General features: G+C 38.6%; 1 protein-coding gene across 1 annotated transcript in view; it reads left to right on the plus strand.

The window, feature by feature from the left end:
• The window catches only part of REDIC1 (regulator of DNA class I crossover intermediates 1), a 282,118-nt gene that overhangs the window by 112,952 nt on the left and 156,625 nt on the right, over window positions 1-12,541 (plus strand). Inside the window, exon 14 of the transcript NR_135051.2 lies at window positions 6,726-6,912. The gene's annotated coding sequence lies outside the window, so the exon portion shown is untranslated. The remainder of the gene's footprint in view (window positions 1-6,725; window positions 6,913-12,541) is intronic.

Below are 12,541 nucleotides of genomic sequence, written 5' to 3' on the forward strand. Positions count from 1 at the left end.
TCATCTGACTTTATAGATAAGATCATGGTATTGAATTGAGTTGCAGAGTTGCAATTCTGTTTACAACTACAACTTTTGCTCTTCCTATAAAAATGTGCTTAACAATTACTTATAGAGGACCTACCATATGGAAATAAATGCCTAGAGGCTATGGGAGATACAAATTAGTTGAGACAGCCCCTTTCTCAATGAGTTTTTAATTTAATAGAGGATTCATTCCTTTGTTCATTCAGTCACTTAGTCAGTAAACAATATTGATTGAATACCTATTGAGCGCAGGCATTGAGAAAGCAATGATCACACATTAGAAGAAAAGATAAAACTGATCCCTAGCCTTCAAAACTCATGGTCTAATAGGAGCTCCCAAGTAAAGAAAATACAGCAGAATAGCATGATTGAATGATTGATTAATATTGAGTTAAAATATGTCACTTTTGGCTGGGATGCTCAAGGAAGACTTTCTTGAAGTTATACTTCAAATATTATAAGTCACTATATGAAATAAATGCTCAGAGGCTTCATTTTTGAAATTAATTATAAAAGAGGCACAAAAACCAAATGCAGTACTGTAGATTTCCAAAATGGTCATAATTCTCTACCCCTGTCTATATTCACATCTCGTAAAATATGATGTATTTTCTTCCATCAAGAGGTGCCATCTGTTTCTCTACCTCTGGAATTTGGGAAGGCATTGTGACTTGATTTTGCCCATAAAATGTAGCAGATGTGATGTTGTGCCAATTCTCAGCCTAGGCCTCAAGCTCGCATGCTTCTGCTCTTTCTTAGAATCTTCCTCAGCTTACACGAATAAGCTTGAGCAAGCTTATTCATGATAAGAGACTGTGTAGAAGAGAAATGTGCCATCCCAGCTTAGTCCTTCTTAGATAGCTGCCACACAGCCAACATGGCAGCTGATGTCATGCATTAGTGATATTAGGAGTTACGGCAAGAGCAACCAACATGGGATCATTTGAAATTGTCAAACCACCAAATTGTGAGATAAAGACAGATTTGTTGACTTACATCCCTACATTTTAGATGGTTTATTACACAGCAATAACTAGCTGATATGCCAGTTAATAAAAATCTTCCTAATGCTTTAGAGTTGGGGGGAGTAGCACAGTTAATAGGTGGAACAGCATGTAGGAAAAAATTTTAATTACCAAGCTCTTGAGACCATTTATATGGCATATGTATTTTTTCAGAATTTTTTTTAGCAAGCCAATCTTCTTTCCTATGGTGAATTCTTATGACAAATGTGGAGTTAGCATTTAAATTAGGCATAGGCTATATTTCTTTCCAAAATGTTGTATCAAATTAATAGGAAATAGGCATTTATTTTCATAAAAACCATGTGCTGTAAATTTTTAGTGTTTTTTGTTTTATTTTCTGGGCACCACTTTACAAGGTATAAGTGATACATTAAGGTTTTATTCAGTTGCATCTTGGGATCACTTGCAAGGATAATTTGTGATGAAAAATATAAATGGGTCACAGAGAATCAGTGAGACCCTGTGCTGTGCTATAGTTAAAGAAGGAATATAGTGAGGAAGAAAGAATGGGAGACTTGGAGTCCAAACAACTATATCTGTTCAGAAAATATAATTTCCTTTGTATTTTTAGAAGATTATTTTTAATCTTCATAACTTTTTTCTTGCTTCCCAGAATTAAGAGGTAATGTGAAAACACAGCTGTTTCATGATTATTTTTGTAATAAAAGTAAAACTGATTTTGATTCATTTGTAAAAGGAAACCTGATTTATATTATCTGAATAAACCATATTTTAAAACTTAATGTAATATGCATAATTATTTCATGCTTCTTTACATATTATTATTATTATTTTTTTGAGATGGAGTCCCGCTCTGTCACCCAGGCTGGAGTGCAGTGGTGCAATCTCGGCTCACTGCAACCTCCGCCTCCTGGGTGCAAGCGATTCTCTTGTCTCAGCCTCCCCAGTAGCTGGGATTACTGGGCTTCCTTACATATTCTTAAACATGTCCTTAATTTAGAGAAAGCACAGGTAGAAGAGATAATTTCAGGTTTTCTTAAAATGTCCATATCTCTACCTGAAACAATTTCGTTTGCCTTCAGAATGTTCATTAAATTTACATCTGTATTATTATGTTATTCAAACTGGACATGGGTCAGTTCCTCTCCTTTAAAAAAAAATAACTTACATAGAGCCTACCTTAATCCTGGGGATGGACAAGAATATCGATAGACTTCAACCAACCTGAGCATCATCTTGTTGGAAAATATGATAAGAATGTTATGTCTCCATTTCCCTGAGGAGGGTCAGTATTACTGAGGATTGAAGAATTTTGTCATGCAGTTCATTTCACAAGGCTTCAGATATGAAGAAGGGTAGAGAGATGTTAACGGACAAATCAAACTTGCAAAATATTTTAAAGAGGCTTATTTTGAGTCAATATGAGTGACTGTGGCCTGGGAAAAATAAAAACCCAGGAAGTCTTGAGTACGTGGTCCCACAGTTTGGTTTTACACATTTTAGGGAGGCAGGAGTTACAGGTAAAGACATAAATCAATACATGGAAGGTCTGCATTGGTTTGGCCTTAAAAAGTGAGATATCTTTAAGTGGGGGCTTATAGGTTATAGGCAGGTTTCCAGATTCTTTAATTTGTAATTGGTTAAAGGAGTAAGGCTCTGTCTAAAACTTGAGGTCAGCGGAAAGAAATTTTTACAATAAGGATGCTTTGCCAGAGTCAGCCACAACATACTGGGTCAAAATGACCTGTTTAGCTAGACTGATGGCCTGCAGATGTGACTTAACCCTTGCCTTGCATGGCTTAGGTCTTGTTTGTAATTTGGCATCTTATTGCCACAAACAGTCTGTTGTGGCAGTCTATGATCTCTATTTTAACATTAATCCTGGTCAGTTGTGACTAAATTCCAAAATGGTGGGGGGTATAATGAGGCATGTCCAACATCCCTTACCGTCATGGCTGACAACTCAGTTTTTAAGGTTTCTCTGGGGTTCACTTGGTTAAGAGGGGGTCCACTCGGTCAGTGGGGGGATTAGGATTGTATTTCTAGTTTACAGGTAGCAGTCAGTACAGTGACTATGAACGTCTTCTGATTTGTGCTAAGCAGGATGGCTTTTTAAAAGAGGCCACTCTGTCAGGTTCCTTTCCACAGTTAAATATCCTTTTTTTCAAGGGAGGAAGAGGTCACGTAATTGCCAGGTATACATTTGTTATATTTATTAAGTGTTGATAAATGAACTCTAACATCTAACAATTTGAAGGCTGCGCTCTTGGCACCTTCACATTAGTTAAGATTTCTGATTAAACTTCAGAAATAAAGTTTTTTTGTTTTTAAAAATACAGCTGTCTTGGTGACCCCTTATCTTGACCAGGTGTCAAGGTGAGCTGTCTTGGAGCTCTCGGGTAGAGGGCTTCCCTGCCCGTGAAGTCCTCAGAAAAGCCTTCAGTGTCTTCTAGTCATTTGCCCAGTAGTTTCTCCTGGTAGAAAAGGGCTTCTTAAATCACGTAAAAAAGTGTTGTGTTTACCTCAGCTGGAATTTTTCATGTTGTATTTTATAGACTTGTAGAAGCTTATTCAGTTTCTGGTCTAGCAGGTGAGGAGCTTGGAAGTCACTCTGTCCTCACAAACTGAAAATCAGTAACTCTTCTATGCGAAAAGCAAGGTGACAGGAAAATTGCTGTCCCCCAAATTGGAGAAACAGACAGATGGATAGAGAGAATTACTATTTACCAGAGCAGAAACCCATAAGCAGAAACCTCCGTGGGAAACAGTGCCTGGATAGGAAAACCTAAACTGTAATAGGCAAATTGCTGGAAGTTCAGTATGAATAAGTCTGAGCTAAAAACTCCATGGACCCCCCACCTTCACGGACACACTTTCACACGTTCTATAAACCAGGTTTATAGAGTGACGATGGGAGAAAAATCCCCTGTGCCTCTGGTAGCGGGGAAGAGACAATTAACCATTTTGAAATATGCCAGAGCATTCTGTTCCTTTTAACAAGGCCTGTCCTCAAGAGAAATTGTTTTATCACAGCCTAACTTACTAGGGTTTAATCAGAGCCTAACTGACTTGGGGGAAGGGAATACCCAACGCCAGCCTACTGTAGCTGTCCTTTCCCACCTAGAGGGAGAAAAAACTGAGAAGCACTTGTGAAGTTCACAGGCCAGGGGCACCAGCTCACTAAAAGACTGAAACCTAATTATGGAACCATAGAATGCTTCCCCTCCCCTCATACCTTACCACCATGTCACCAAAAGTTTACTTATCAGAGTTCCTTTAGCCCAGTACAGTATGTCTAGCTTTCAACAAAAAATTACAAGGTATACTAAAAGGCAAAAAACACAATTTGAAAAGACAAAGCAGTCACGTACCAGACTCAGATATAGCAGGGATGTTGGAATTATCAGACTGGGAATTTGAAACACTAGAAAGGCTGTAATTGAAAAAGTAGACAACATAAAAGAACAGATGGGTGAGGTAAGCAGAGAGATGAAAATGTAAAGAATCAGAAGGGCTGGAGACAACACTAACAGAAATGAAGAATGCCTTTGACAATGGGCTCATTAATAGACTGGACGCAGCTCAGGAAAGAATCTTGGAGCTGGAGGGTATGTCAATAGAAACTTCCAAAACTAAAAAAGCAAAAAGATCAAAACAATAAAAAATAAAAAGGAACATAATCTCTAAGAACTGTGGGGCAACTACAAAAGGTATAACATACACATAATGGGAGCACCAGAAGAGAATAAAGACAGAAAGGAACAGAAGAAATAGCTGAAGCAATAATGGCTCAGAATTTCCCTAAATTAATATCAAACAAAACCCCACAGATATAGGAAGCTGGATAAATGCCAAAACAACAACAACAATAAACCCCTCAAAATGGATACCTAGGCATATCATAGTCAAAATACAGAAAAATCACACATAAAAAATATAGAAAGATCCAAAGCAAAAAAAAAGCAGTTATAAAGGAATAAAGAATTATGTTTGACTTCCCCTCAGAAACCATGCAAGCATGAAAAGAGTGGGGTGAAATACTTAAATAAAATCCAACAATCTAAAATTCTGTATCCTGAGAAATTATCCTTCAAAAGTAAAGGTGAAATAAAGGACTTTTTCAGACAAAAATTGAGGGAGTTTGTTGTCAGTACACCTGACTTGCAAAAATTGTTAAGTTCTTCCTAGAGAATGCAGTTGATATGGGTCAGAAATTCAGATCTGCACAAAAAATGGAAAATCATTAGAAATGGAATAAGCGAAGATAAGTTAAAATTATTTTTCTTATTCTTAATTGATCTAACAAATAACAGTTATAATAATAGCCACCATGTATCCAATTATTATAGCTTATGTATAAGTGCAATGAATGACAGCAGTGATATAAGGGATGGAAGGGAGGAATTAGGAATAGCGTAAGGCACTTGCAGTACCCACAAAGGGCTATAGTGTTTTCTGAAAGTGGAATTGGATTAGTAGTACATTGCAAACTCCAGGGCAACCACTAAAAACAGTGAATAAAGAAATATAACTGAAATAAATAAATAGTGTAAATAAATAAATATAACACTAGGAGAGAAAATGGAATAACATAAAATGCTCAGTTAAAACCAAAAATGGCAGAAAAAAGGTGGAAGACAATAATTGGAACAAAGTACAAGGGAAACAAATAGAAAACAGTAATAGACATGGTAGACAGACATCACTTCAAAAGTTAATGGTCTAAACACAGCAAGTAAAAGACACTGTCAGAGTGGATCAAAAAACAAGACTCCACTATATGTTGTTTTCAAGAAGCTCACTTTCAATATAACGATACATATATTAAAAGTAAGAAGATGGTTAGCATATACCATGCTAACACTAATCAAAACTAAGCTGAACTAGCTATATTAATTTCAGACAGAGTAGACTTCAGAGCAAGGAAGTTTATTAGGACTCTGGGTTAATTCATAATTGTAAATGTCCCAAAAACATTTCAAAACATTCTAAAAACAAAGTCCTAACTAAATCCTGATTCTTTCACATTTGCCTCCAAATTATACTCTCAGTTTTTATCCAGTTGTCAGTATGTCAGTGATTAGGCTTAGTTCCTAAATCCATAACCAGTGACCCTGCAGGAAGAAAACAGTAACACAATTTTCAGGTCAAGACAGTTACTAAAATTTTCCATTATAAAGCACATTGTAAAAAATAAACAATAAAGGGTACTGGTTAAAAATGACTTTGGCACCAACTAAGCTTGGTCTTAATTCAGATTTATAAAGCTGAGCTACTTAATGTAAGTGACTCTGCTTCCTCTGACTCAATTATTTTGTATTTCATAAAATAGGGGTAATAATAGTGTTTTGGATATAGGATTTTTGTGAGGATAGAATGAAATCATGTACATTAAGTATCTAGCACATAACGAGTGTGTTATTTTATAAAGAAAATGTATAAATGGAATAATTATAAAATGCAAATTTCACCCAACTTGGTTATAATATTTAATGATTTTTTATTATTAGATTTTCCCACTTAACAGGAATAAGAAACTATCTAAATGTATCATCCAAATGTGTTTATGTGAATACACATGCATTCATATCCTGTACAGATTTGCTGTTTGATTAAAGCAGCTATGCTATGCAGAGGTTCACTATAAAGCTTTTTTGCTGTTGTTAATGTAAGCATGGTGCCATGTTGCTGTTTTAATCTTTTATTTTCCAGCCTGGGAAAAACTTCCGCTATTCCTTTGCTGACTGCAGGAATGCTTGAGATGCATGGACCTATTCATTTTTAAAAATTTATTGAGCACAGGGTCCGGTTCCAAGATGGTTGAATAGGAACAGCTCCAGTCTACAGCTCCCAGCATGAGCGACGCAGAAGATGGGTGATTTCTGCATTTCCAACTGAGGTACTGGGTTCATTTCACTGGGGCTCATCGGACAGTGGGGGGCAGGACAGTGGGTGCAGCCCACCGAGCGTGAGCAGAAGCAGGGTGAGGCACTGCCTCACCTGGGAAGCGCAAGGGGTCAGGGAATTCCCTTTCCTAGCCAAGGGAAGGGGTGACAGACGGCACCTGGAAAATCAGGTCACTCCCACCCTAATACTGCACTTTTCCCATGGTCTTAGCAAATGGCACACCAGGAGATTATGTCCCATGCCTGGCTTGGAGGATCCCACGGCCATGGAACCTCACTCATTGCTCACTGAGATCAAACTGCAAGGCAGCAGTGAGGCTGGGGGAGGGGTGCCCACCATTGCTGAGGCTTGAGTAGGTAAACAAAACTGCCGGGAAGCTCGAACTGGGTGGAGCCCACCTCAGCTCACTGAGGCCTGCCTGCCTCTGTAGACTCCACCTCTGGGGGCAGGACATAGCCGAACAGAAGGCAGCAGAAACCTCTGCAGACTTAAATGTCCCTGTCTGACAGCTTTGAAGAGAGTAGTGGTTTTCCCAGCAGAGAGTTTGAGATCTGAGAACGGACAGACTGCCTCCTCAGGTGGGTCCCTGACCTCTGAGTAGCCTAACTGGGAGGGACCCCCAAGTAGGGGCAGACTGACACCTCACACGGCTGGGTGCCCCCCTGAGACGAAGCTTCCAGAGGAATGATCAGGCAGCAGCATTTGCTGTTCAGCAATATTCGCTGTTATGCAGCCTCCGCTGCTGATACCTAGGCAAACAGCATCTGGAGTGGACCTCCAGCAAACTCCAACAGACCTGCAGCTGAGGGTCCTGACTGTTAGAAGGAAAACTAAGAAACAGAAAGGACATCCACACCAAAAACTTATCTGTACATCACCATTATCAAAGACCAAAGGTAGATAAAACCACAAAGATGGGGAAAAAACAAAGCAGAAAAGCTGAAAATTCTAAAAATCAGAGCACCTCTCCCCCTCCAAAGGAATGCAGCTCCTCACCAGCAATGGAACAAAGCTGGACAGAGAATGACTTTGACAAGTTGAGAGAAGAAGGCTTCAGATGATCAGACTTCTCTGAGCTAAAGGAGGAAGTTCAAACCCATCACAAATAAGCTAAAAATCTTGAAAAAAGATTAGATGAATAGCTAACTAGAATAACCAGTGTAGAGAAGTCCTTAAATGACCTGATGGAGCTGAAAACCATGGCATGAGAACTACATGACGAATGCACAAGCTTCAGTAGCCAATTTGATCAACTGGAAGAAAGGGTATCAGTGATTGAAGATCAAATGAATGAAATGAAGTGAGAAGAGAAGTTTAGAGAAAAAAGAGTAAAAAGAAATGAACAAAGCCTCCAATAAATACGGGACTATGTGAAAAGACCAAAGCTATGTCTGATTGGTGTACCTGAAAGTGATGGGGAGAATGGAACCAAGTTGGAAAACACTCTGCAGGATATTATCCAGAAGAACTTCCTCAACCTAGCAAGGCAGGCCAACATTCAAATTCAGGAAATACAGAGAACGCCACAAAGATAACTCCTCGAGAAGAGCAACTCCAAGACACATAATTGTCAGATTCACCAAAGCTGAAATGAAGGAAAAAATGTTAAGGGCAGCCAGAGAGAAAGGTTGGGTTACCCACAAAGGGAAGCCCATCAGACTAACAGCTGATCTTTCAGCAGAAACTCTACAAGCCAGAAGAGAGTGGGGGCCAATATTCAACATTCTTAAAGAAAAGAATTTTCAACCCAGAATTTCATATCCAGCCAAACTAAGCTTCATAAGTGAAGGAGAAATCAAATCCTTTACAGACAAGCAAATGCTGAGAGATTTTGTCACCACCAGGCCTGCCCTAAAAGAGCTCCTGAAGGAAGCAATAAACATGGAAAGGAACAACCGGTACCAGCCACTGCAAAATCTTGCCAAATTGTAAAGACCATTGAGGCTAGGAAGAAACTGCATCAACTAACGAGCAAAATAACCAGCTAACATCATAATGACAGGATCAAATTCACACATAACAATATTAACCTTAAATGTAAATGGGCTAAATGCTCCAATTAAAAGACACTGGCACATTGGATAAAGAGTCAAGACCCATCAGTGTGCTGTATTCAGGAGACCCATCTCACATTCAGAGACACACATAGGCTCAAAATAAAGGGATGGAGGAAGATCTACCAAGCAAATGGAAAATAAAAAAAGGCAGGGGTTGCAATCCTAGTCTCTGATAAAACACACTTTAAACCAACAAAGATCAAAAGAGACAAAGCCATTACATAATGGTAAAGGGATCAATTCAACAAGAAGAGCTAACTATCTTAAATATATATGCACCCAATACAGGAGCACCCAGATTCATAAAGCAAGTTCTTAGAGACCTAGAAAGAGACTTAGACTCCCACATAATAATAATGGGAGAGTTTAACACCCCACTGTCAACATTAGACAGATCAATGAGACAGAAAGTTAACAAGATATCCAGGAATTGAACTCAGCTCTGCACCAAGCAGACCTAATAGACATCTACAGAACTCTCCACCCCAAATCAACACAATATACATTCTTCTCAGCACCACACTGCACTTATTCCAAAATTGACCACATAGTTGGAAGTAAAGCACTCCTCAGCAAATGTAAAAGAACAGAAACTATAACAAATGGTCTCTCAGACCACAGTGCAGCCAAACTAGAACTGAAGATTAAGAAACTCACTCAAAACCACTCAACTACATGGAAACTGAACACCCTGCTCCTGAATGACTACTGGGTACATAATGAAATGAAGGCAGAAATAAAGATGTTCTTTGAAACCAATTGGAACAAAGACACAACATACCAGAATCTCTGGGACACATTTAAAGCAGTGTGTAGAGGGAAATTTATAGCACTAAATACCCACAAGAGAAAGCAGGAAAGATCTAAAATTGACACCCTAACATCACAATTAGAAGAACTAGAGAAGCAAGAGCAAACACATTCAAAAGCTAGCAGAAGGCAAGAAATAACTAAGATCAGAGAAGAACTGAAGGAGATAGAGACACAAAAAACCCTTCAAAAAATCAATGAATCCAGGAACTGGTTTTTTGAAAAGATCAAAAAAATTGATAGACCACTAGCAAGACTAATAAAGAAGAAAAGAGAGAAGAATCAAATAGACACAACAAAAAATGATAAAGGGGATATCACCACCGATCCCACAGAAATACAAACTACCATCAGAGAATACTATAAACACCTCTACACAAATAAACTAGAAAATCTAGAAGAAATGGATAAATTCCTCGACACATACACCCTCCCAAGACTAAACCAAGAAGAAGTTGAATCTCTAAATAGACCAGTAACAGGCTCTGAAATTGAGGCAATAATTAATAGCCTACCAACCAAAAAAATTCCAGGACCAGATGGATTCACAGTCGAATTCTACCAGAGGTACAAGGAGGAGCTGGTACCATTCCTTCTGAAACTATTCCAATCAATAGAAAAAGAGGGAATCCTCCCTAACTCATTTTATGAGGCCAGCATCATCCTGATACCAAAGCCTGGCAGAGACACAACATAAGAGAATTTTAGACCAATATCCCTGATGAACATAGATGCAAAAATCCTCAATAAAATACTGGCAAACCAAATCCAGCAGCACATCAAAAAGCTTATCCACCATGATCAAGTGGGCTTCATCCCTGGGATGCAAGGCTGGTTCAACATACGGAAATCAATAAAAGTAATCCAGCATATAAACAGAACCAAAGACAAAAACCACATGATTATCTCAATAGATGCAGAAAAGGCCTTTGAGAAAATTCAACAATCCTGCATGCTAAAAACTCTCAATAAATTAGGTATTGATGGGACGTATCTCAAAATCATGAGAGCTATTTATGACAGACCCACAGCCAATATCATACTGAATGGGCAAAAACTGGAAGCATTCCCTTTGAAACCTGGCACAAGACAGGGATGCCCTCTCTCACCACTCCCATTCAAGATAGTGTTGGAAGTTCCGGCCAGGGCAATCAGGCAGGAGAAAGAAATAAAGTGTATTCAATTAGGAAAAGAGGAAGTCAAATTGTCCCTGTTTGCAGATGACATGATTGTGTATTTAGAAAAACCCATTGTCTCAGCCCAAAATCTCCTTAAGCTGATAAGCAACTTCAGCAAAGTCTCAGGATACAAAATCAGTGTGCAGAAATCACAAGGATTCTTATACACCAATAACAGACAGAGAGCCAAATCATGAGTGAACTCCCATTCACAATTGCTACAAAGAGAATAAAATACCTAGGAATCCAACTTACAAGGGATGTGAAGGACCTCTTCAAGAACTACAAACCACTGCTCAATGAAACAAAAGAGGACACAAACAAATGGAAAAACATTCCATGCTCATGGATAGGAAGAATCTATATTGTGAAAATGACCATACTGCCCAAGGTAATTTATAGATTCAATGCCATCCCCATCAAGCTACCAATGACTTTCTTCACAGAATTGGAAAAAACTACTTTAAAGTTCATATGGAACCAAAAAAGAGCCCGCATTGCCAAGTCGATCCTAAGCCAAAAGAACAAAGCTGGAGGCATCACACTACCTGACTTCAAACTATACTACAAGGCTACAGTAACTAAAACAGCATGGTACTGGTACCAACGCAGAGATATAGAACAATGGAACAGAACAGAGCCCTCAGAAATAATGCCACACATCTACAACCATCTGATCTTTGACAAACCTGACAAAAACAAGAAATGGGGAAACGATTCCCTATTTAATAAATGATGTGGGGAAAACTGGCTAGCCATATGTAGAAAGCTGAAACTGGATCCCTTCCTTACACCTTATACAAAAATTAATTCAAGATGGATTAAAGACTTACATGTTAGACCTGAAACCATAAAAACCCTAGAAGAAAACCTAGGCAATACCATTCAGGACATAGGCATGGGCAAGGACTTCATGTCTAAAACACCAAAAGCAATGGCAACAAAAGCCAAAATTGACAAATGGGATCTAATTAAACTAAAGAGCTTCTGCACAGCAAAAGAAACTACTATCAGAGCGAACAGGCAACCTACAGAATGGGAGAACATTTTTGCAATCTACTCATCTGACAAAGGGCTAATATCCAGAATGTACAATGAACTCCAACAAATTTACAAGGAAAAAACAACTCCATCAAAAAGGATATGAACAGACACTTCTCAAAAGAAGACATTTATGCAGCCAGCAGACACATGAAAAAATGCTCATCATCACTGGCCATCAGAGAAATGCAAATCAAAACCACAATGAGATACCATCTCACACACCAGTTAGAATGGCAATTAGTAAGAAGTCAGGAAACAACAGGTGCTGGAGAGGATGTGGAGAAATAGGAACACTTTTACACTGTTGGTGGGACTGTAAACTAGTTCAACCATTGTGGAAGACAGTGTGGCGATTCCTCAAGGATCTAGAACTAGAAATACCATTTGACACAGCCATTCCATTATTGGGTATATACCCAAAGAATTATAAATCATGTTGCTATAAAGACACATGGACATGTATGTTTATTGCGGCACTATTCACAATAGCAAAGACTTGAAACCAACCCAAATGTCCATCAATGATAGACTG

Source organism: Homo sapiens, chromosome 12, assembly GCF_000001405.40.
Source record: "Homo sapiens chromosome 12, GRCh38.p14 Primary Assembly".
NCBI classification, from domain to species: Eukaryota; Metazoa; Chordata; class Mammalia; order Primates; family Hominidae; genus Homo; species Homo sapiens.